The 25799-nt window shown below is 47.4% G+C and overlaps 2 long non-coding RNA genes and 1 other non-coding gene across 5 annotated transcripts, besides 2 other annotated features; 2 read left to right on the plus strand and 1 right to left on the minus strand.

The window, feature by feature from the left end:
• Positions 1-3447: 3447 nt before the first annotated feature.
• Positions 3448-6815, minus strand: LOC101928048 (uncharacterized). The gene is made up of 2 exons (NR_109903.1): positions 6757-6815; positions 3448-3769 (listed from the first exon to the last, which is right to left on the minus strand). It is a non-coding gene; the product is annotated as an uncharacterized LOC101928048 (long non-coding RNA).
• Positions 6816-6968: 153 nt separating this feature from the next.
• On the plus strand, positions 6969-19697 carry LOC124904944 (uncharacterized). 3 transcript variants are annotated; one of them, XR_007067682.1, is made up of 2 exons: positions 6969-7742; positions 8196-19697. It is a non-coding gene; the product is annotated as an uncharacterized LOC124904944 (long non-coding RNA). The 3 variants fall into 3 exon arrangements; XR_007067681.1 differs by having other exon boundaries at positions 8745-19697; XR_007067683.1 differs by having other exon boundaries at positions 6969-7243; positions 8745-19697.
• Positions 11950-12020, plus strand: MIR4533 (microRNA 4533). Its single transcript, NR_039758.1, has one exon. It is a non-coding gene; the product is annotated as a microRNA 4533 (primary transcript).
• Positions 18619-19119: an enhancer, noted in NCBI's record as "H3K4me1 hESC enhancer chr20:59059838-59060338 (GRCh37/hg19 assembly coordinates)". NCBI's record gives its function as "activates a minimal SCP1, AML or CMV promoter by ChIP-STARR-seq in primed H9 embryonic stem cells {active_cell/tissue: H9 hESC(primed)}" and the evidence as "EXISTENCE:reporter gene assay evidence [ECO:0000049][PMID:30033119]".
• Positions 19120-19620: an enhancer, noted in NCBI's record as "H3K4me1 hESC enhancer chr20:59060339-59060839 (GRCh37/hg19 assembly coordinates)". NCBI's record gives its function as "activates a minimal SCP1, AML or CMV promoter by ChIP-STARR-seq in primed H9 embryonic stem cells {active_cell/tissue: H9 hESC(primed)}" and the evidence as "EXISTENCE:reporter gene assay evidence [ECO:0000049][PMID:30033119]".

Below are 25799 nucleotides of genomic sequence, written 5' to 3' on the forward strand. Positions count from 1 at the left end.
TCCCAGAGCATTTCTTCCTAGCGTAGTAGCTCGGGTAGTGTTAGCAAAAGACTAGAGGTGACTCAGTAAGGAGGGGTGGACTATCCCGCCCCACATCACATGCTGAACTGAGAAAACAGCAAAGGCCAGAGGACATTGCTGAGTGGAGGCTGCGATGCTGTATTCACATTGATCTCTGATGCAATTAACAAATTCATAATGAACATATTCCACAAACCTCCCTCTGGAAACTTTTGGGAGCTATGCATGTTTTCTAGGAACCAGGTGAATTCAGGGAGGACTGAAGGTTTCCAGAGCCCAGTCCCCTCCAGGAGCTCACCTTGGCTTTTTCTTCTTACCCTCTTAAAATGTGTTCCTATTTAGTTCTTTAAAAACATGAGTCATGAGCCTGCCACGCTAGTACCTGCTGGGAGATGAGAGGGGAGACTTGTTTCAGTTAGAGTCTCTCCCTTATTCTTTTGTCAGTGTCTGGCCAGATGGAAATTGTCAAATTCTGTCATAGCAGGAAGCTCTGTGACTATCCAGGGTCATGAATTATGTTTTTTTTTTCCAAGCTAGAGATTGAACCATTCTCAGGTCTAGAGGTTCCTTATAGGGATGGAATTCCAGGATTTCAGAGGGCTCTTCTTATGAAAAGAAAATATTGCTCAGGCACCAGTTCACTCATGTGTTTGTGTGTGCTGGCAAAGTAAAGATGGTTTCTTGGAATTAGGTTCAGTATCTTACACTTACTGGCACCTGAATCCCCATTTAATTGCTGTTAAAACCAGCCATAGATCTTTCTCTTTTCCAAGTTTTTGATCTCCCAGAAGTCCAAACGTACCATTAGGTGCCAAGGAACACCACACCTACTTACAGCTCTGTGGTCATCACAGAGAAAGTTAGTGGGAAAAGGGCCTGGAGCTGGCTGAAGGTGCATGCTGGCTTGAGGCTGGCACCTCTACCCTTGGGATGTTGGCATCTGACCTTGTACTTGGGAACCTCACCACAGAGAAGCAGATGGACCTGGGGCTGAAGCAGCCAAGAGACTCTGCTTCTGCATCCAGAGTGTTTGTGGCCAAGTGAGTCTCTAATTCACAATGTCAAATGAGCTTGCCTTCCACAGCCTCACCTCCCTTGGTGAAGGACAGGGGCTCTGCGCCAGATATACTTCAGAATGTACAAAGTGGAGCCTCTGTCTGAGCCCCTTCCTGAGAGCTGAGTGGATGCTCTACAAGGTGTGTCAATAGCTGGCTGCACAGGTGACCTCTGCTGGGACCCTGGAGAAGTCCCTTTGGCTGACGTGGCAGGAGGTGGCTCTGGGACACAGTGACATGTCCCCTGACAGGCCTAAGTGACAGAGGGTTGCTCGTTGCCTGGGCTTCAAACCAAGCTATGCTGTTTAGCAGACTGGAACAAAAACTAATATCAAGGGGGAGAAAAATCCGTGGAAGGGGTATTGGGTGCCAGCATGCCTTTAGCACTTCCTATCTACCAGCCTGTGAGCTAGGGTGGCCATCACAGGCTTATTGTTATGGTGTCCTTTTGATAGCTGAGACTGAAGGTTAGAGAGGTCATGACACTTGCCCCAGGTTACAATGTGAAGCCAAGGAGACAAGACCCCAGCCAAGACTATCTGAAATGAGACAAGACCCCCACTAAGGCTGTCCGACTCAGCCGTATCAGGTAAATCCTTCAGGCCTATGCTGTGAGTAGAGATGGTATTTAACACAATCTCCCAAAATCAACTAAAGATAGTGAGGAAAAAACACAAAGTCTCCCCTCCCACCTTGACTCTTGCAGCTTGAACTCCCCTCCTCCTCGCGCCAGCAGCCTTGACCATGTGACAGCAAAACCAAGTTTGCTTTAGCAGATTCTGTCTGCTGACCTGCTGCAAAGATCTGGGGAGGAAGCTACTTTCTTTTATGCCCTGTAACTGTTTTTGGTATAAAGCCTTAGAAGATGAAGCCTATCCTGATTCATCTATTCCCCAAATATCTGTTTTTCTTCTCTCCTGGGGTCTGACCTTCTCCTCTTCTTTCTGCACAGTGTCGGCTGTCACAGATCGCAAATCTAAATGAGTCCTATAATTTCCCCAACAATGTCCAATTGGTGAACGTGGCAGCTGAATAGGCACTGTGTACGTACTGAAAACCCATAGGCAAGCAAAAATGACAGCCGCTTTTTTACAAATGTGACTGAAACTTACCAACTCGTCCACCCCCCCACCCTCACTGGGGGTCTTATTATTTTCACAATTACTAGTTAGATAGAAAGCAGGTGTGTATGTGTGTGTGCACGTATGTGTGTGAAGCTTCCTGGTTGCTCAGATACAAAGGGAGAACACGTTCTGTTGGTTGTTTTAAAATCTTAAAAAAATATTAGCTTTCTTGCCTTTACTCTCCAGCTTACAGCCTACAGGTGCAGGAAAACCCCAACGGTGGTCCCTACTCAGCCCTTTGTGCAAAGGGTGCAGACATTTCCTTCAAAAAGGTTAGGTGCTGATTTGCATGGGGCTTACATGTACTTAGCATATTGATTGCTCATTTCCAGCCCAAGGCTGAGCACCCAACCTCCGGCGCTGCCCCTCCCCTTCTGCCACCCACCTCACGCCTATCTGCTGCAGGTGGGTTTTTAACTACAAATCCAACATGTATTTGGGGAGCTCCACCTTGAGGTGAGAAGCTCCTTCAGAGTGATGGTGAGTACCTAGACCAGAAGGAATCATGTTTTAGAAAATACAGTAATAAAGTTTCAGGAAGACTCATGTTGCTATAATTTTAAAATAATTTAAAGGCCAAGATGATATTTCTCAACATACAGAACTCAGTTTCTTTTTTTCTTTCTATCACTCTGGTGGGAAGAATAAGTTGTATACTGACCAAGTGCAAGTCACAGGGGGTAAAGCTGAGACCTCCCCTAGAATTCCTTCTTAAGATCTCACATTTCCTTCCTATTCTGAAGGATATCAGTCAGTGCACATCTGTTAAGATGACCACCAATGTCTTGTACCACTGTTCTAGGGAGGTCTGCCTTCCTCGTCTTCCTGGCTGACATTCTGTATTAGGGCCCCACATTTGCTCACACTTTTCTCCATATACACAGAGGCCACGTGGTTGCTTCATTTGTGTGTTAATTTTTTGTATATAACTGCTCCGATCTTCCTCCTGAGCTGTCCCATTTGCTTTATAAGAAAGGGGAGAAAAATTCTAGTTCATGCCAATCATCTTGGAGTTAGTCTCCTGAAATAATGTGTTTAGGATGGTAAACCTCAGTCGCAACTTTCAGATTTCTATCACCTTCCGTTCCTTTCCAAACCAAAAGATTAGGTGTAGAGGTACAGCGTGTCATGTGTTTGTGGCAGAGGAAAGCAGGAAGCTGTAGATTTACAGGGCACCTAGGGAACCTTCATGCGTCCCCTCCTCGGGTATCTGCAGGGACGTTCATTGTCACCCTGGTTGCTGCAAGTCACATGGTCCTACTGAGATCATATTTTCATTTCTATTGCTGAGTAACAAATTGTCCCCAAACTGAGAGGCTTAAGATTATTTTTCTCACAATGTTGTGGGTCAGAAATTTGGGAAGGGCTCAACCAGTCAGTCTCTCATATTGTTCACCCAAAATGTCAGCCAGGACTGCCATCATTTGAAAGCTCAACTGGTCAAATGTTCAGAATGACTGGCGGTCGACACTGGTCATCAGCTTGGAGTTGAACTGGGCTGGCAGCCAAAGGACTGACATGAGGTCGAATCATGGTGGATTCAGGATAGTCGAGCTCCGTGCACAGCACCTAAGACGTCAGAGAACAAATGTCTCACCAGCAAGGAAGAAACATGTTGCCTTGTAGCACCAGGTTTCAAGAGTAACACTGCACCACTCCAGCATAACCTGTGGTTAAAAATGACCTCGAACCTGCCTGTACTCAAGAGTTAGAAAGTAACAGGGTTCTCAAAGAACATGTGTTGTGGCAGATATCATTGTGGACACATTTGGAAAATGCAGTCTGTCATGGCTGACTGGGTGTTATTCTAGATCTTTCTGTGCTAACCTCTCTTTGATGAATTATTATAACCTCCATTTAACCACTAGCTTGGAATGTGGGGTCACCTTGTTCCTTGCCCCAGTTCACCCCTAATGTAGAATGTTTGCTGGATTTCAACTTAACTACTTCCTCTATTCTCCTTTAGAGACCACCATGGCAGACACCCAGTGGTCTCTATTCCTTCCCCTTGAGTTTTGTAGGAGCTAGGAATTTAGGAAAGGAACCCTTTGTGACTTCTGAGATGAGTCATAAAAGGTGGTAGAGCTTGGGGTGCTCCCTCTTAGAGCACAGGCTCCATCCTATGATGAGGCTGCAGTGGCCACATGAGAAGGCCCTGAGGGTGTTCTTGCTGATAGCTCCACTGCTGTCCCACCTGACAGGCAGCACCAATGGCCAGACATGCAGGAGTGAGGATGGCCGCTGATGTTTCCTGCTCCTGCTCTTGAGTTACCCTCAGGATTAAAGTCCTCAGTTGAAGCTGTAGACCTTACCAAGCAGAGATGAGCTGTTGCCCATCCTGAGTCCTGAGCCAAAGACAGTGAGAGATCAGAAAATGGTTGCTGTTGTTTAAGCCACTAAATTTAGAGATGGTTTATTATGCAGTAATAGTAACTGGAACATCTGCTAACCCATTAGGATAAATACAAAGAAGGCAACATATGGACACATCATAATTAAACTGCCAAAAACCAAAGTCAAAGAGAAAAACATAGAAGGAGCCAGAGAAATTAACATGCTACATACAAGGAATTACAATTCAGAAAACTGATGATTTTATCTCAGAAAAAATGAAGACCAGAAGACAGGGGAAAAATATTTTTAGACTGTTGAAAACAAAACAAAAACTTTCAGCTCAGAAGTCTGAATCCATTGTGGTATCAAATGATGACTTTGGAGAGAGAAAGATCTGATTAGAATCCTAGTTCTATGGCCCTATTTCCAATCCTACAATGTGGCATTAATGCAAAAAATATTATATTAATATACAAAATATGACCCATGCAAGAATTTACACCTCTGAGCTCCGGTTTCCATATATTTTGTTTACAAAGAAAAAGTCCTATTGCAGCCATTTGACAGTGCCATTATGACATTCTGTAAACAGTAAACATGAAAATGCTTTGTAAACGGAACTAACACAAAGACTTAGTAGAATCTGAAACAGACGTACTCTTGCTTTCCTTTGAGCACACATGAAAGGTATGTATACAGTAGGGAAGACTAGAGTTCTAGAGTCAGATGTGTAAGGATTAGATGGCTCTTTTTACTACTTGCTGACTGAGATGACTTATACTGACTGATCATTCATCCTCTTTAAACTTCACTTTTTTATATCAAATGGTAAAGTAGTAGAATTACCTGAGAAAGCTGTTGCAAGGATTAAATGAGATACACAAAGATACTTCACTATGCTTGGTATACAGAGTGGCTCAACAAAGAGTAGGTTTTCTACTTTAGTGAAGTATATATTAAATGTATGTATTCATCATCGATCTGGGAAATGTATAAAAATGAGGCAATAGGAGAATTCCCACTGTCCAACACTGAGCAGGTTGTTTATCTCCCTGAACCTTAGTTCCCCAGTTGTGGAAATGAATGTGAAGAGTCAGCACAGGGTGAATGTGAGGCTTGTGGAATGTATACGGCACTTGTGTGCTCAAACAAACAAAAGCAAAAGTAAGTCTGTTTCAGATTCTACTAATTATTTGCATTGGTTCAGTTTACAAAGCATCTTCATATTTATTGTCTATAGAATGTCATAATGGTGCTGTCAAATGGCTGCAATGGGACTTTTCTCTTCGTGAAGAAAATATATGGAAACTGGAGCTCAGAGGTGTCAATCCTTGCCTGGGTCATATTTTACCGGAACAGCTAGATGGTTACTGCCACTCTGAAGTTCTCTCTGTGTAGACCCTCCCTCTCCACTTCCCTCATGTGATTTTCTATTGTTGGGAGTGGGTTCTATTTATACCACATCCCAGTAGGTTTTAAGGTGGTATATATGGTATTCAAATTTGCAAATTTGGCCAATTGTGACATCAGAAAATGTTACGGTGTAGCACAGCCACGAGGCTTGGGTTCAAGCCCCAGGTCTACCACTTGGGTGAGTTGGGGCAAGAGGCTTAACTTCTCTACTCTCAGTTGGTTCCTCATTTGCCAAACGAGGATAATAGCAAAGTCTAGCTCACAGTGTTATGTGAAGGATTCATGAATTAATGTGTAAAACGTGTTCAGCACAGTGGCTGGCGTGTTCTCAGTGCCACGTGGTGGCTGTTACTTATCTCCATGAGATTGCAAACTCCATAAAGGCAGGGATTCTTGTTCATTCTGTTCATTGCTTGGTACGTTGCGGTGTTTAATAAATATCTGCTAAAAGTTGCTGAGTAAATTTTGTCCTTAAGTGCCTTCCATATTGCTAATAATAATAAAAAGAACAACACTAACTTCTAAAATAATTTTCAAAGTAACGTGATCAATAATACGTGATGCTGTTCTCCTGTCTCTGCCCTGAGCTCAGTTGCCCCTTTGGTGCTGGCACTACAGACCCCCACACTGCAGGATGCCCAGAACACTCATTCTGTTTTCTGTTTCTGCCTCCCCCTGCCCAGCCTGGCCTGACTGGGGAGATATCTATCTCAAGGTGTTTCCACCTGCTTCCCCTTGAAGACGTTGATTTCCTTCTCAAAGTCTCCCACTAGGATAAGCCCCCAAATCATGCTAGTTATGAATCTTACCAGAGTGGGACGGAATGATGCTTTAGGCACAGGCAACCTTCCCCAAACCCTGCAAATCACTCAGTTCCCCTTGAGAAAGAAATGGCTTGATTGGTGGCATTTGTGGAAAGGGGCGGGCGGTGGGGGGCGGGGGGCGGGGGGCACAGTTATTGAGTCACAATGTAGAAGTGAAAACACACAATTCAAAGTCTAAAATATTTTAAAGCTTCCCTGGACTCACAGGCCTCCCTTCCACTCACAGCTTTTTGAAGTAGCTCTGTGGACTTACACCAGAGAGATGAAAAGCTGAAATCCAGCTGCCGTTCATTCCTGCTTTGAGATTAGGAAAGGTAGAGCTGAATTTGGGCTATGTTACTCAGAAGCTTTTCCCCAGCTGATGGAGGCCTGCCCTGGAGGTGCTCAGCTCCATCTCTGCTGTCCAGGCTGTGAGCAAGAACACCTAAGGAAAGCCAGCAGCCTCCTTCACTCTCCCTCCCCATCCATTCAGGTACAGGCCACAAGTCTGCAGCATCTCACTACAAAATCAGCACAGAGGCAGTGATCACACCACGATGAAAAAAAAAAAAATAGATTAAAAAGAGAGGAAAAAATCAGCTGCTAGAACAAAAGCCAAACAGAAATGTGTTCCTTAAATTATTAGTAGTGTATTAGAGGTGATTTAGCACTCACATGGCCATTCCTACAACTGCAGAGACCCTGCAACATATCTTATTCCCTTTGTAATGCGGATGGCACTGAGATTGCTCTCATCTTCTGGGCTTATAAGCAAATATATTTAATTTGGATGTAATACAGCCAGGAGGGTGATTTCTCCAGATGGCGATTTAAGCAACAGATCAAGAGATGAATTAAGCACCTCATTCCTTCAGATTTTAGGAGATCTGCAGGTGCCAGGGATCCTGCCTCCAGCTTGGGTCCAGGGTAAATTTCGGCCAAGATGAAGCCTCTTATTGGCTGCATGAATTCTAGCCTCCTTCATTAACATGGTAATTATCCAATTAGTTAATGCTCCCTTCTTGAGTTGAGTAAGCTCCTGGGGGGTAAAGATTGCAGGTGGAATCTTGAGGCTATAATAGTGGTATTCTACTCCTTGAGGAGATGCATTTGATGGGTGTTTTTTCTACAGAACTTGATTCAGTTTAGAATACGAATCAAGGTGAAAACAAAACAAATCTAGTAGCAATCAATAGAATTTCTCTATGGTAGATCTGAGTAATTTGAGATTAATTAGCACAAAGGAAGCTAAATCAAACCAACCAATGCTTAGTGTCTTTATGAGCAAGATCTCAAAAGGGGGCCTTTAAGGTAGTTATTAGCTGGTGGCTCAGAGACTAGCTTTAGGGGGTTTGTGTAGTTCTGCAGACAGGATTGCAAGGCCAGCTGGTATGTGCACTTTTTGGGGGAAAAGAGTCCTTATTTCTTCATCAAATTCTTTACAGAAGAGTGCCGTGCTCCCCGCTGTCTTAGGAGTTACAGAACATTTAAAAGATGATTTGCGGACAGATTAAGGACTTCAGAAGGAGAGATGACACCAGACCTAGGTCTTGCAGATGCAAACTCCTGTCAAGTGTGAGAGGAGGGGGAGTATTATCCACCAGTGGCAGATAGGCTGGGCATCTGGGCAGAATGATAAGAGCTGTGGCCCTGCAGCCAGTCCCTGCATTTGCACCCTGAGTTTGCCATGAGCTGTGTGACCTTAGTCAAGTTTCTCAACCTCTCTGTGCCTCAGCTTCCTTCTCTGAAAAATGGGGATCGTGTTTTGCACACAGCCCGACACACAGCAAATATTCAGTGACTGCTGCCGCTTTCTGCCATGGCTAAAGGTGGTGTTGTGGTTTTCCTTCCAGGTTTTTATGCTTTAATTTCCTAACTGTTCCTGCATTACTTCACAGTTGATGACGTGTGGGGCCAAGCTCTTGGCACACGTGAGCACAGTGGATATTCAAGGAGCGTTAACTCGGGTCCATTTTTCTTTCCATCAAACACAGCCTCCTGGTAAAAGAGCCATTCAGGATGCCTGGAGGAGCCCAGATTTCAAATCTGATGAAGTCTGCAGTTCTATAAATTCCCTCCCTCTTTTGTGCTGATGGCAACGACTTTTATATGTATTTTCATGTCTTTCTCTCCAGAGATAAATTTTGTGGCCTGCCACTGAATCTGCTTCCTAAAATGTAGCTTGGAGATTTTATTTGAGATAAACTATCATGTGAATAAATATAGATACTATATTTTAATCTGGGAGCGTTCCATTTGGAACCTTTTTTTTTTTTTAAAGTCAACATTAGTGGTGCCGTCATTCAAAGGATATGGACGTTTGGGGGAAATTTACATCCAACTGTGACTGAGAACCTTTTGCCAGGATAATATCTGTTTCTCTGAAAATGACAATGGCTATGGACGTAAAGCATGATCTCAGATGGCAGTCCCGAAATCAGGAAGGTCCATTTCAACACATCTCCTGGCCCCTGTGGCAAGCTACAATGCTGGTATGCTCGCATGGTAGGGTCTCTGCCTTGCAGGTAACACGTGTCCATCTGAGAATAGTAAAGGAGGTTCATTTGTTTATGTGCTGGTGGTGCTGAGGAGTTTCACAGAGGCTGGAAAACAGGGGCTGGCAATTGATTCCCCCCAGAGCCCTCCGTTTCACATTGCCCCACCCCAGAGACCATGGGAGATGATCATGGGAGAGGAAGGTAAACATGCATCAGTGGAGCGGGAGAGTGAAGGGGTGAAGAAACAGGAAACTGCGATCACTGTGGGACGTTGCCCTTTTTTCATGACCACGAAGATGCAAAATGCTGAGCCTTGTTATTTCTGGCCCAGGTAGGAATTGGTGCTTCCATTTAATTAGCGTATCATAGAATCAGATTATTGACCATGGGTTGGGTCCACACCAAAACCCCTGAGCGCCTGAGCCCGGGGGAGCCCTAAGCTCTCCTTGTCCGAGAGTCGTGAGGGAGGCACCCTAGGAGCCCCTGCAGGATTCTAGGGGCCAATTGATCTCATAGCTTTTAGGGAGAAAATGCCCCTAACAATACTTTCTTTCTCATCTGTGCAATATGCAATAAATTCATCTACCCACAAACTGAAACGTGAACAACTGCTTAAGTATCACAAAGCAGTCCATGATACACCAAAAAAGATGCTGTTCCAGGAAAGTAACAAAATTGCCTGTTCTCCACGCCTCACCCCGTTTATGGACTTTCAGTTCTCCACGGTAATAGAGTGGGAGGTGATGAACAAAGCGAGACCTCACCAGAGGCTGTGTGATTTGTGGAAACTTTGAATAACTCTTTTTATCCCAGGCCCCTTCTAGTGAAAGTCCATTTTATGATTTGTACAAACCAACATTGTTTTTGCGGGAGGGCATGTCAACACCCCGAATGGCTGAAACTGACCCAGAAGTCAAATTAGCTGGAATTGAATCTATAAAATGGATTCATTTGCACCTCATTAGAACATAAAAGCAAATCCAAGTTCACATGGGGAGGTGGGGGAGGGCAAAGCGGTACTAATAGAAGAAAAGATGTTGGCTGAAAACATGTTTTGAAAACAAGGTGTTAAATGATAAAATATGGCAAAAAAAGCAAATGGAGAATCCACAAACACATATGGGTTAACTCTACTCCAGCACACTGGGCCTGTGAGAAACAGATTGAGCTTGCACCTTCAAGGCCGTTGTGATCAATGGGAGAGCAGACATGCAAACAATGGAAGGTAAGGGGGCTGGTGTCACCTGAGGATGAGGAGAAGGCTAAGCAGAGGCAGGAGAGAGCCTCTCTGATTAGAGAGGCAGAGATGGAATCCGAGAGTCTGGCATCAAGGGGAGCCTAGAGCATGAACATGATGCTGTTCAGCTGTGTCTGTGTTCACAGAGGCACTGAGACGGGTACCAGGGTGTAGATGCCAAGGACGGAGAACATTTGAAGAAGGCATGGACAGTTGGCAGAGGCAACTGAGGTGCTAAGTGGGAGCAGATGGGAGGGGCACTGGGGATGGAGGAGCACCTTGGGGCTCTGAGAGACTGGCTTTGAGGGCACTAGCCCTGAAGCCTGTTCTGTGGGTTATAATCCAAGCCAAGTGGTATCTCCTTTAAAAAAGGTGGCCAGATTTCTGATGGCATCTCTTCAAGGTATACATCCATGGCAGGGATGAGTCAGCACCCAGCCTTGCTGGACATGGAATCAGGCCACAGAGCCTGGTCACGTAGTGCCATGTAAGTTTCAGTGGGAAGCCTCTCTTACAGTATACCTGGGCATTTCCTGTGTCTCCTCCCTGAAATGTTTTCTGAACAACTTCTGAAATGTCAGTGTTTCTCTAAAAGAAAGTGAGGAACCTCTGTAAAACACCTTCTTTTTCTTTTGAAATGGGATCTCACTCTGTCTCCCAGGCTAGAGAGCAGTGACTCCATAACAGCTCACTATAGATAGCCTCAACCTCCAGGGCTCAAGCAATCCTCCCACCTCACCCTCTGGACTAGCTGGGACTACAGGCATGTGCTACCAGGCCTGGCTAAATTTTTTTCTTTTTTTTATAGAGACAGGGGTCTCCCTATGTTGCCCAGGCTGGCCTTCAACTCCTGAGCTCAAGCAATCCTCCCACCTTGGCCTCCCAAACTACTGGGCTTACAGGCATAAGCCACTGTGATTCTTAAACCCTGCCCATCTCTGCCTACTCCTCTCCCCAGACCACAGCTCTCTAGGACTAACTCCTATTTAGGAAGCATAGAGAAAAGTCTGACAATTAAAAGTGTTTTGTTTGTTGGGTGATGAATTTCCAGGGCCTCCATCTACTGTGTAGCACTTAATCGTTACTTTTCGTAATATTGTGACTAACCTTCCTGGCCATGAGAACCAGGCTGTCTCTCTTTGATGTACGGTGAGGATGCTGGAGTTGTTTTGCTAGGGCTGAAAATCCTGTGTGCCTCTAGATGTTAGATTTCCCTTGGAAAAAGGCTGTATGGGGCCAGTACAAAGAGAATTGTTTATGCTTCTGTGAGGAGATGCCAAAAAATATATAAGAACAACAACAACAAAAAATCCGCCATCAAATTTACTCCTTAAGTTTACTGACAGCCTGTCACAATGAAATAAAACATTTATATTCACTTTATGGACTTAATTTAAAATGACTTAGTTGAAGAAAGCAGCCCCTTGCTTTGAACTACCTGCAATCCGAACACGAAACTCGTCATGAGAATGTGGAAGGAGGTTGCCGGACGCTGCTGGCTGCCTTCCAGCGTCCACTTCCCTTTCTCTCTCTCCTGACACAGCTCCGTCGTGTGTTTGGTCCCCAGGCCTGAGGTCTCTGTGCTGCCGGGGAAGCTGACCATGCTAGTTCCAATGGTGGCCTTGGTTTAGAAAATGCAAAAAAGATCTCTGCAGGTCAAACAGCGATAAGGAAAGGTTAGCAGTGAGAATTCATCAGACAAGAAGGTGCCTGAGTTTTGGCACAAGGTCACGTTCACTCTCTGCTTTTGACTGTGCTGCTTGTTTAGGCACAGAGATGCTGTGGCTGAGTGTCTTGCTGGTGGAGGCTGCACATGCAGCCCTGTGGGAGGTGGAGCCGGTACGGGCAGATGATGTCAGATGTGAAGCGTGCCCACCTGCTGGACTTCCAGGAGGACTAGGCAGATAACTGCCCTGGTGTTTCAGGCACTTTGAGCTGGGGGTTCCGTTGTTTGTCGATGAGAGAGTCCCTGGATGCCAAGAGCTTTAGAGCATCTTATCACTCACGTTGGAGTTGGGACCAAAGCGATTCAAAGGAGGCCACAGTCAGCTGTTCTCAGCATCTGAAGCCCATGACTTGCATCTTTTCCAGAGGCAGCATCCCAGGCTGTGACGGCCAGCCAGGCATCCCCGGCATTCTCCCCGTCCTGCCCAGGAGAAAGGGCCCTGTGACTGCATGACACTCCCTCTTCCATCATCCATGTTGCAGCCCCTCCAAGCTGGTTAATGGAGAAAAGGAATTTCAGAGGCTTAGGGGCTTGCTGCTTTGCCAGCATTTCTGAAAGGCTTCAGAGCAACTTTAAGGATTTTTACAACAATGGCAGTGCTTATTTGAATGATCTTGTACTTTTACCAACACAGTGCAAAGCCCTCCACATGCATCCCAGCACCCTAGTTAAGACAGCCCTGTGATGTGGGCCCCTGAGCTCTCCCTGCTGCACGAATGAGGAAACGTGCCCGAGAGGGTCCTGGCCTAAGGGGCAGCCTCTGGACTCGCACCCAGGTACTCCTCCTGTGCTCCTCAGGTGCTGTCATGGCAGCTGCTCTGAGGTCTCAGCACTGCCTGCCCCAGCATGGCCGAGTTGGGCAGAAGTGCTGGAGCGGAGGTTTGCCTTCTGTATGGCTGCCTCAGCCAGACCCACGCATGACTCTGGAAGATTGTGTGGCGCTCCTGTGCTGTGCACCGTGGTGTCTTCAATGTCACCAGCAATCTGAAATGATATTCATATTTTCTAAGGTCAGCAGGGCACAGCACACCCAGGAAGCATCTGATACTTTGGAAGAAATCTGGTTTGATGATTATTAGAATTGCAAGAGTAGCTGTCTTTTAGTAAGTTTCCCCCTACTCCCATCAGCAAAGTGATAAGCACTTTCCTTCATCATCTTACTTCTTCCTCTCATCAATGCTATACAGCAGGAATCAGTGTCTCCATATCCCAGGGGAAAAAACGAAAGGTCAGAGAGGTTATGTTCAAGATTACACAACTTGAATATTGTAAGCTCAAGATTCAAACCCAGATCTCTCTGAACGTCAGAAAAGCCTGGACTCTTTACCATTACTGTATTTATTTAGACAAATACAGTTGTATGTATTGATAGTGGACAAAGTATTTCCATCTATGCATAACATTGTGGGATGAGCAAACCAAGGTGATTGACATGGGCATTACTTTACATATATATCTTTGTGTGTGGGTGTCTAGTGAGAACACTTACCTACTCTCTTAGCAATTTTCAAGTATCCAATACATTGTTATTCACCATAATGACTATGTTGTGGGATAACTCCCTGAGCTTCTCTGCGCCCACCCCCCTATCTAAATGACATTTTGGGTCCTTTCAAATCACCCTTATTTCTCTCCCCCAGCTCTAGACCTACAATCTGCTCACATTGGTGAAGTGAAAGCACCTGCAGGATTGAATTTACCCAGTAGGTTAGGACCCTGCATGCTCACGGAACCGCCCTACCCATCCTGCCTCCCCACCTGGCTCTGCCTCCTAAATGGATAGATACATGCTGTTCTAAAGTTGGCCAAGCTCTATAGTCTCCTTGGGAAAATAACAACCTTAGAACATGGGACAGCCCTGTACTCACAAATTGATGTCATAGCCTAAGACAACCAAGGCAACAGAGGATTCTCAAGAAGGTAGTGGAGGGGACAAATAACTTCTACCTCAGGAGATCAAAACGTGAAGCCACTGGTCACTATTCTGCTGGCTTACACTGATGTTTACTCACCATGACATATTAATGAAAGGCTTTTAATGTCAGTCATTTCAATCACAAATCCTTACAAAATAAGCAAAGTGTTACTCTTGCTCCATGAACAGGATACAGAGATTCCTGCTAAAATCACCCCAAGCTCAACCCTGACCTCACCTGCTTTAATTATGCGTGAAGTAAGTCAAATTCCTTTGCAACAAGCAGGCATTCATTATCTATAATTCCTATTTTATAACTTTTTTGTTTGATCTATCCCAGAATTCATTCTGAAGAAATTCAACAGAATAAATGATCATTTTCCCTGACCACTTGACTGCTGCTTTGAATATGTAATGTGGCTACACATGTATATTATTTATGAAAAATTGATTGCTGTAACATCTCAATATTCCTTTCATGCCCTGTGAATGTGGACTTAATACATTTCCTCTGAAACCCACGACTGGCCTGCAGTACGTGACAATGCCTTGGAGAGGCGAATGGATTTATTGGTTTGGGCAGCCTGTCGTCTGTGCGGAAATTAGGGAATTCCTGCGCACAGTCGGCTCTCGCCTGCACGTCAGGAGCTTCAGCTGGCATGGGGCGTGATGACTGTGCTGGCCCATAGGGCAGTCCCCAGTAAATTTGGAGGACAATATAGACCAGCATCCCAGCGTTTCTCTAAGGACCATGGTCTAAAAACCACGCCCCGTGAGGGAGACCCGGGATGCAGGGATGCACACTTTCTCCAGCTCCCAGTCTGACTTGAGCCCTGCGGGGTAAGTATCGGATTCCTCCAGACGCAGATCTTGAAACGACTGGGACGGACCCAAGTTGTTTCTTTAGGAGGCAATTCCAGGCAGAAGTGGGAGAGGCGTGTGGAAATGAGACAAGGAGGCCGCAGGGGCCATGGGGAGATACCACTGGGTGCTCTGGGACCAGATCCTCCCTGCAGAGGAAGGATCCCATGTGTGAGGCCCCGTGTACATCTTCCGCCTCCCAAGTGTCATTGCACGGGCACGCACAGAGCCCAGGGTCCCTCTGCATTCCCTGCCGTGATGGTGGGGTGGGAGGAAGCCCTAGGGGCTGGGAGTCCCGGAGACCCATAGAGGACAGAAAAGGACATGAACTGGACCAGTGAATACTGCGGGGACAGCGTCTGCAGCTGGGAGGCGTTCCTGAGAGTTTACAAGTCCATCACCGCCCCGTCCCTCACGGCACACCCAGAGCCTGGGAGTCAAGCCAGAGTGGCTGTGCAAAGCCATGCCTGCAATCACTGTCGCTGTTTCTCTGGAATCCAGATGAAAATGATCTACAGGCAGGGATGAGACTTGGGGCAGGAGAATGGTTTGAGGACACAAAGCTCTGGTGTCCTGGTGAACAACAAGATCTGGTCAACTGCTTTGCCTACAAGAACCTTCTGAAGAGCAATTCTGGTGTTGGATGTATGAGAGATTGATGAATTGTGAATAAGATGCACAGCAGGTAAAACAAAACGAAAACAGCCACAAGGGAGCTGTCCCCGCACCTCCACCACAATGGCAGGGGCAGCAGCGAACCCAGCAAGGATCCCCTGCCTGCAGTGGCTGCTCAGAGACTTGCGGCTGCCTCTGTCTGAAGGTCTGGCTACTGGAGGAGTTCTAGGATGGGGAGGGGGGCCCAGGATCAGGTCGAGCATTCCTCACTGCTGGACCAGGCATGAGGTAGCTCACACTTCTGCAGCCTGGAAAAAGAGTGGATTTGGGCTGCGCACATCCCTGGTGCCCAAAGCGTGGCCAGAAAGACAGCCCCTGTATCACCTGGGAGCCTGTTAGAAATCAGTCTCTGGTTGAGCCCCGGATCGGATGACTGGAAATGTATATGTTAATAAGGTCCCCAGGTGCTTCATGCTCACATGACAGTTTGAGAGACAGGGCACTGGCTACAGCTTCTGGCCCAGCTCTGCGTCTTTGGGGACTGAGTCAAGAGGAGCCCGCATGGGCTTGGAGTTTCCCATGGGCCTGACACGGCCTTGTTTCATTTCATTCACTAAATGACGGTGCTTGGCAGGAGCACCACCGTCCACCTCTTACAGATGAGCTCAGAGCTGCCTCATGATGTGCTCAGATGCGTTCTGCAGCAGTCGGTGTGGACATGGGGCAGCTGCCTCTGCAGTGCACCCAACTCACACCAGACTCTCCTGCCCTCGATCCCATGGGAGGTCCAAATGGCCCCGTCCAAAGAGTGACCCCAGGCCACAGAGCAGCCCAATCTTGTCCAATTTGGATGATTCTAGGAAGATTTCCAAACAAGAAAAAAAAATGTTTCGAACCCAAACTGAAGGAGATGGCAAAAGACACAAAGTAATGAAGTGGGAGCCAAAATGGTTTTCTTTTCCTCCACTGAATATTTTTCATGTGGTATCGGATGTTCTTTAAAGGTCAAATGTTACTATTGCTCATTTCCTCCTCAGCTAATCAAGTATTACGCAGTGGCTTAAGGTCACAAGCGTGAGTTACTGATGAAAATAAAAGCCTGTTCTTGATTTTGTAAGGGAAACACATGATTTGAGTACACGCCTGTAGAAACTACTTTATGTTCAGGGCAAGCATGTTCCGCACGTATTTGAATTTGGGCAGATGATGTTATCTCAGGTCAAGGATTTTGAGTGCAATCTCTGAACACTATGTACAAGGGCCACCCTCACCAGTGCCAATCTAGGGGGGATGGTATTGATAGGAAAGGCAGTCGTTTGCATCCTGACCAAGGCAGACACTGAGTTATGCAAAAGGACCAATAAGTTGCCTCAGTTTTCCCTCCTGTACAATGGGGATTATGAGCTGCCTGCCAGCACCGGAGTGAGGGGTAAGTGGGATAGGATGGGGCAAAGTGCCTGCCACATGTTTTCCCAGACTGAGTTCAATAAAATAGTAGATTAGAAAAAAAAAGACTGGAATAAGTACCCATAATTGTGAGCCTCCTTCATGCTAGGGGCATGGTAAAACTTCTCTAATGAAACCCTCACAGTCACCAACATGGAGGAGGCTGTATTCCCAATTTAACAGGAGAGAAAACTGCTGATCAGAGAGGTTGAGGGACTTACATAGGATTGCAGAGCTGCTGAGTCCCAGCCTTTCCTGGCCTGACATCATCCTGTAGTGGGAGTCTCCCCAAGGTCCTAAAGCATTGACAGCCTCACCCCTGGCTCACCCCATGGTGGTGGCTGTATGAGGAGAAATAGCCTCTGCGTCTTAGTACCTGTCCCAAAGGGAGGTTTCCTGTGCTGAGCTAATGGAGCAAGGCCACCATAGCTTGGAGGACTGAATTAAAACCCCAAGTGGGGTCTGCTGGGTGCTGGTCAAATGATGGGGAAGGGGAGCTCTAGGTACAGGATTCCCCTTTTGCCCAAAACTCACCACCTTCCATTTCCATTCACCATCATAGGATTTCTTTGGACATAAGAGAGAACCCACTCCAAGTAGTTTAACCAAAAAGGGGAGGGGAAGCATTCAGAAAACTCTCAGGGGACCCAGTTTCAGAGAGCAGAGCCACATCCCTTGGGAGCTGGGAGCAGGAGAGGAAGCAGGTGTGGGGGTGGGCAGGGGCAAGCAGGGAGGGCCAAGGTGGCTCTTCTGTCAATGTTGCTTCACCCAGTACGGGCTCCTCGCTCCCTCTCCCCCTCCCCTCCCCCTCCCCACTCTCCTGTCTCCCTTTCTACTGCAGGTGGTGAAGGTGGCACAGCGTTCATCCATACAGTTAGCAAAGGTGGGGAACTGGGGGCTGGGAAGGAACATTCCACCTGAGGGAGGGGCGAAGAAAGGAGGACAGGGGAAGGATTTGCAAGATATGGTGGTCTATGGATTAGATTCTAGCAAGAGGGATTTCAGGAATAAATGATGTAAGAACTCAATGAGAAAATACGCTTGGGTAAGGCAGAGCCTTGGAGGGAGTTGGGAACTGGGGAGCCAGGAATGAATGCCAGTTATGGGGATGGGGCTTCTCCCAGGGGTGCCTCATCCACCCTCCTTCCTTTCATGGCCACCCTCCTCTGCTCATCTAAGGATGGGCAGATTGCACTTTTCCATGTTAGGCAACACGCTGTGCAAATACAGCTTTAAGCTGCTTTCCAACGAGGCTCTGCAGAAAGGCGTCCCCTGAGAAAGGCGAAGCCATCAGGAGAGCTGAGGGCTGGAGGCTGCTCAGCACTGCTGTTTTCGCCCCTGGCCAGGGCTCCCCCTCCAAGCCCTGCATCATCTCTCTGCTCTGTCCAGAGACACACCTCCAGGGGTTGCTCTTGTTTCCTCCCCTTTTCTTTGGAATTCTCTTAAATCAGGCCTGTGTCCCCCTCAGCCCTCGGTCCCAGGCACGAGTAGCTCCTGGGATTTCCACATTCCCAGATCCAGGAATCAATGCATCCTCATCTTCTCATGTCCTTGCAGCACTGGATGGGGGTCAGCTCCCACCTTCTCCCTGAAGTGTTTTCTCACTGGGTTTCTGGAACATTCTGCCATTGCTTTTCTCCCATCTCCCAGGAGCTTGCAGAGGTGTGGTCCTTGGGCCTCTTTCCTCCCCCAGGTACCCCTGCTAGATGACCTCATCTGCGTCAGGGATTCCTATTTCATTACAGGGACCTCCTCCCTGGTCTCCCAAGGGGCATTTCTGGCCACCTCTTTGGCAACTGCGTTGGAGAGGATAACAGGCTTCTCCCTAAAGGGCACTTCTAGCCTTGCCCCAGCCAGCACTTCCAGCATTGCCTTTCTTCCGGGTGCTCAGATCAAAACTTTCAAGCGTCTTTTCTTCCAAGCTTGGCTTCTCTGTTAGGAAGTCTCGCCAGCTCTGTCTTCCAACCAGGGGCACTTCCAGCACCTCCACCACCGTCGCCAGGGGCCGAGCCACCATGCTGTTATCTGAAGGACTACGTGGCCCACCCAACTGGGCCCCCTGCTTCTGGGCTTCTTCTCCTGCAGGAGCACAGTGAACCTGTAGCCTTGATTCCACTTAATCAAAGCTCAACGGCCTCCCGTCCGTTTGACTGGAAGTGTCTGCTCAGTGGCTGACAAGGCTCCGACCTTACCTCCTCCCCTCAGCCACAGGAAGAGCCACATCGCCTGCCCTTCCTGCTGTCTCCTGAATGTGTCAGGCCAGCTCTGACCCAGAACATCTGCAGCTCCCTCTGCCCTCTTCGGGAGTGCTCTTCAGAAAAGTCTGCACGGCTTACTGCCCGCCTCCTTCCTGCCTTCCCCCAAGGGGGTCTTCCTCTCCAGGAGACTCTGAGCAATGCATGTAAAATTGTGGCACCCGTCTTGTCTACTCATCATCCACGACGTATTCTCCCTGCGACACGTGTGCTCATCTAAGGATGTGCTAATGATTTATTCATGTATTTGTTTACTTGTGCATTCATTTATTATCTGTCTTCCATCACCAGAATACAGGTGTTATGAGGGCAGGACTTTTGTACTTGTTGTCCTCTTTTGTACTTGTTGTTTATTTGTTGCATGACTAAATAAAAGCAGCCCTGGCAGAGAGAATGTGGATGATGCCAATGTGACAAGCCTAATGTTCTTTGTTTCAGGAGTTCTTTTGATGTGGAGAAATAGAGATATGTTCTCATAATTTGAGGTTTTTTGGTCATATGATTGTCTTTTCTGTAAAAATGGGAGTTGTCAGAATAAACAGAGAGGCAGACTGATTTTCCCAGGGGGAGTAGGAACTCCTGCCGGTCATGGGAGATCCAGCAGAGGCAGCTGGGGGTGGGGCTGTGGCTGAGAGTCCAGAGGAGGCAGTGGGGCCCATCTCGTGCCAGGTCTCTCACCTTCCAGGTGAAAGTCAATCATGGCTGGAAGCTTGCCCAGTGCCCTTTGTGTCTAGTTTTTCTCCATAAGTTACTGGGGTACAGGTGGCGTTTGGTTACATGAGTCAGTTCTTTAGCGGTGATTTGTGAGATGTTGGTGCACCCATCACCCGAGCAAACATTGCACCATATTTAAGCCTCCTGGCCTTGGTGTCTATTTTTATTGAAACGGTTGGACTCCCGCTTTTGGCTCCTGGATGCACTGGTTACCATAAGAAGCTCTCTCCCGGACGTGCCTCTGACTTGTTAAATCAGTGGACTGCCGGATGTAGCGGGAGCTCTTTCAAGCTATCTGCATGTGAGGGCTGGCTTGGGTTGAGATAATGACCACTCATAATGACCCCAGTCTGGGCCGATTACGGATTCGATCTTCCCCTTGATAAGCAGGGTTGTCAGTGCGTCACTGAGGCCAGCACATGCTCATCAGGGAAGCCTGGCCTTGGCTGAGAACTAGTGCTGGGGAAGGGAAGTGTTTAGGGCTTATGGCTTGAAAGGAGAGACAGCTAATATGTCAGTACAGGGCCTGTTGTCTGTCACTGTGGCTCCATAGGCCGGGGAACCTGCAGAGGAGGCCGGGTCTCTCCCACCTCCTCCCATCACTCTCACTCACTCAGTTCTGGTCCCATCACACTGACCTATTGCCAGTTTCTGGTGTTGAGCCGCCCTGGTCTCTATCCTGGAGGGCCTCAAGGTGTGACATCCCCAGCTAACGGGCTCTTCCCTGACCCTTGCCGGACCCCACCTGGCCTCACTGACCTGTCTCAGGTCTTGGCTTTAATTCCATGGCCCAAGCTCTCTGAAGCAGCCTTCCCTTGCAATTCTCTGTCACCACACCTTGCTTATTTCTCTTGAAGCGCTAATTATGAGGCTTATGAAGATGTCGCATGTCTGCCTGATTGCCCTGGGCGGTCTGCATCCAGATGGCCAAGGCAGGGTTGGCCGGTTCTTCATTAGCTATGCGGTGACCACACAGGGCAGGGCCTGGGAGGCTCTCAACCAGTGCTGCTGGATGGAGGGTAAGCACAGGCTCAGAGGAGGCCAGTGCATGGTTTTGCCCAAGAATCTGAGAAGGGAAACACGTGGCGGAGAAGGGGAAGAGTCTAGATCCCCGCTGATGTCTGTCTGGCTCTGGGAAGAGTCTAGATTCCCACCATCTGTCTGGCTCTGGAAGCTGCACTCTCGGAGCGAAGCCCCAAAGCCTCCCGACCACTCAAGGGAGTGAGGGCTGGAGGGACTTTGGGGGCTGAACGGTCCAGGTTCTGACTGGCGGCTGCTCCGTGAGCGTACTGTTCTTGGGAAAGCTCATCCCACTGGACGAGGATGACACCTGTTCTCTTCTGCATGGCTGTTCTGCATCAAAAGAGAGTGAAAACCCACTGCTGGCACCTCTAAGTGTCAAATGCTGTGCTAGACACTAGGGTGAGGGTGAAGACACAGAACCCGAGAGCTGCCCCACACCAAGACATAGACATAGGGTCTGCAGGGCTTATAATACACTAAGGGCCGGTGGTTTCAACCCAGGGCAGCAGGTGCAGTGAGGGTAGGTGTATTAGGGTGCTTTAGAGGGACAAAACTAACAGAATAAATGTATATATCAAGGGGAGTTTATTAGGGAGACTTGATTCATATGATCACAAGGTGAAATCTCACAACAGGCCGTCTGCAAGTTCAGGGGAAGGAAGCCATTTCAAGTCCCAAAACCTCAAAACTAAGAAAGTCAACAGTGCAGCCTTCAGTCTGAGGCCAAAGGCCTGAGAGTCCCTAGCAAACTACTGGTGTAAGTCCAAGAGTTCAAAAGCTGAAGAACTTGGAGTCCGATGTTCAAGGGTAGGAAGCATCCAGCATGGGAGAAAGATGGAGGCCAGAAGACTCAGCCAGTCTAGTCCTTCCACGTTCTTCTACCTGCTTTATCCTAGCTGTGCTGGCAGCTGATTAGATGGTGCCCACCACATTGACAGTGGGTCTGCCTTTCCCAGTCCACTGACTCCAATGTTAATCTCCTTTGGCAACACCCCCACAGACACACCCAGGAGCAGTACTTTTGTATCCTTCAATCCCATCAAGTTGACACTCAGTATTAACCATCATCCCGGAATACGTGGAGGAGCCTGAGGTCAGAGGAGAGAGGGAAGCGCTCCTGGAACTGGCAACTTCAGCAACCTAAGTCTTAAAGGCAGTGAGGCTGGAAGGGAAGGAAGTGGCCTGTGGGGGTTAGCTCCTGCAGATTCAGGTAGTTTGTGTCCAGTCACCTAACTTCATGTCACATGAAGAGAAAACAAAAGACTCTACCTGGCACATGAGGTCAGTTGGTGGCTTTATTAGTCAGGGTTCTCTAGAGGGACAGATCTAATAGGATAGACGTATATAGGAAAGGGAGTTTATTAAGGAGAACTCACAACATCACAAAGTTAAGTTCCACGATAGGCTGTCTGTAGGTTGAGGAGCAAAGAAGCCAATTGTGGCTCGTTCCAAGTCCCAAAACCTCAAAAGTAGGGAGCCAACAGTGCAGCCTTCAGTCTGTGGCTGAAAGCCTGAAAGCCCCTGGGAAACCACTGGTGTAAGCCCAAGAGTCCAAATGCAGAAGAACTTGGAGTCTGATGTTTGGGCGCAGGAAGCATCCAGCTCGGGAGAAAGATGAAGGCTGGATGACTCAGCAAGTCAGTTTCTTCCACCTCCTTCTGCCTGCTTTATTCTAGCCACCCTGGCAGCTGATTGGGTGGTGCCCACCCACATTGAGGGTAGGTCTGCCTCTCCCTGTCCACTGACTCAAATGTTAATCTCCTTTGGCAACACCCTCACAGATACACCCGGGAACAATACTCTGTATCCTTCAATCAAGTTGACACTTAAGCATCACAGTGGCCAAGAGTAGCATAGGGGACCCGACCCTCATGGTGCTTGCAGAGGGACATGTTGGATTCAACAAAGGAGATGTTGCATCCTCTCCTCTCCAGGAGTTGGCCCTTTGGTTCTGAGAAGTGAGTGGACACAGATGTGACATGGAAAGGTGCTATGGTGGCACTGTTTGGTGGTTGCAAGGGATGCTTCTGAGACAGCTGCCTGCCTCTGACTCTCCCTTATCCCCCCTGAGTCTCAGCTATCTCATCCGTGAAATGGGCATTTGCAGGTGCTGTTGTGAGCACTGAATGTGGTAGCAGATGGAACTTAGTAAGAGCTTGATGAACTCAGGCCACTGCTACCAGAGTAGCAAATGGACAGAACCAGGGCAGCTGCCCTGAGGCCCAGCTGGGTGCCAAGGCAACAGGATGGACAGGGAGACAGCAAAGCTCTAAGCTGTACTCAGGGAGAGCAATGCCTGCAGGGTCCATCAGAGGGGGCTTCCTGGGGAGGGTCCTGCAGTCAGCAGCGTTCCTGGAGGGAGCACGGGGCAGGGGCGGGGATCATACGATGGGAGGGTGAACACACCTAAAGGGCTGGGTTAGAGAGTCCGCAGCAATGGGTAAAGGAGCAGAAGGTGGAGATACCAGGGTCAGGCCAGATCAGCGAGGGCCCTGGAGTTCAGAGACAGAGTTGGAAGGAGGGGAGCAGAGGACTGTCTGGATGGAAACAGGTTTGGAAATATTCTGGAAGCCTGGGGTGGAGAGAAGAAATTTTAACCAGCTGAGCCCGGAAGCATCTCTGCAGTTGCTGACAATCAGCTCCTAGTCTCTCATCACAGCCCCATCTCAAGATCAGTGTGCCCTTTGAAAAGATGGCTGCACATCACCAAGTCAGCAAAGCCGAGGGCCACCTCCCACATGTGCTCTTCACCCTCTTGGTGACGCTTCTGACTACTACACTTTTCATTCACTTTGATGCATTCCTCATTCAAGGGGATGCAGGAGCCATGATGGTGCCCATCCCCTTGGTTTCAGATTTATTTTGTTATTGTTGTTGATTTTGGCCTTTGTTATGCTCATGGAATTCTGGTATTGTAATCATTTTAGGTAAGACCGATATTTTGAGTTTTTCCATTTGTTTGTTGCAGTGGCTTTGCATTTTAAAATGTGGGCATGTTCCCCAGGCTGCCCAACATCAAATGTGAAACATCAAATGTGTTTTTTGGCCCCAGTGGGAGGCCCTGACCTTTCATTTGCATGCATCATAAATGTATGTATGCATCATAAATGTATGCATGCGCACGTTATTTTGTGCACATATGATATCAAAACCCCCATCTTAGAGCCCCGGGCATTTATGTAGACTCTAACAATAGCCATATGCTTCCCCCTCCCCTATCTGCTGTAAACCAGTCAAAGCCACAGAGAAAATGAATGCACAGACCTCTCTGCTCACGGTGCATGGACACACATCACCCTTCCTGTTGGTATCTAGGGTCACAGAGAAGTCGCAATTCATTAGTTATCAATATTGTGTTCAATTGACTTCTTGGGAAATATGACAGGCACCCTTCTTCCCCTCCAGCTGCAGCCAGGGCTGGTGCTGATCGTGGGTCTGGAGCTGTCTGCTCCCCTTGGAAATCACAGTCTGTAATGACTGGTTAACATATTGACTGCCCCAAGAAGCCCTGGAGTCATCTCTTGCAAAAGGCCAGCCTGAAGCCAGTGTATAATGACTGCTTCTCCAAGATAATTAGGTACTTTCCTTCAATTAAAATTGGAAAATGCACAGAGCAGAACATTAGTCACAGTTACCATCCGGTGAGATGCATCTTCAGAGCAATAATTGCTCCCCAAAGGTGGGAGGGCTGATGTGGGGCCTATTGACAATGCTGGTCTGATGTGGTTGTTTCTCTGAAAACTGAGAAGGAGCGCTCTTTCTCACCCTGGGTGAACTAATTTTGGCACCAAGAGGTCACAGGACCTTGCAGGGCCTTGGGGAGATGAGTGCAGCCTCCCTAGACACTAATCAACACCCCACACTGTCTGCACCACCAGAGCCGGGGTCTTCGACATCCGTATCTGATCAGCAGCTGACTCTTGCCTTCTGAACATGCCCGACAAACATCTCATTATTCAAACAGATGTTTCTGTGTGTTTTGGATTGCTATTCCAGTGGGAATCTGGCTCTCTCATTTACAAAAGGAAAACTGTCCTTTAGTTTTTGCAAGATGTTAGGTTTCCCAAATACCCAGATTACTGTTGGAGAGGCTGATGGCTCAGAGAAGCAATTAGGAAGAAAAACGATCATTCTGCACTCACTAAGCATTCCCAGGATGGACCTCTGGTCCTATGTCTCTGATTCTTGAATACTCAGAATCTGGACAGCCCTATGCTGGAAGATTCTCTCCACACAGGAAGCTGGTTAGGGACCCTGCTGTTCCCAGCCTGCAGGGTGCAAGACCTAATGTCTATCCTATTGTTGCCAAACATACTTTATTCATTCCCACAACACTCAATATTTTTCCCTCTGATTGTGTAACTAGTTGATGCTCATTAGTTTAAAAATTGCACAACATATAAAAACAAAGCAAAAACCTCCTGAGTCCCCAATACCCTAATATAACCCCTGCCAAACTTTTTGGTGACTGTATTTTTTTCATGCAAATCTTTCAACATATCACACTCACACATTATTTCTATGTATTAATTAATACTTTCCTCCATCTTTGTTTGAGTGTGAAACAGCATATTTCATTTAGGAATCCCTCCAAGTCAATCAAGTATAGATAAAATGTTCAAAATATTGTTGCATACTAATTTTTCTGTGAATATAGTTTAGCGACTTTTGGCCCTTTGATGGACATTTGCTTCATGTCCAGTTTTTTTTTTTTTTTTTTTTTTTTGGCCAGGCAATGATGCCATAATATATTTTTGTG

The sequence above is a fragment of the Homo sapiens genome, chromosome 20, assembly GCF_000001405.40.
Source record: "Homo sapiens chromosome 20, GRCh38.p14 Primary Assembly".
Classification (NCBI taxonomy): Eukaryota; Metazoa; Chordata; class Mammalia; order Primates; family Hominidae; genus Homo; species Homo sapiens.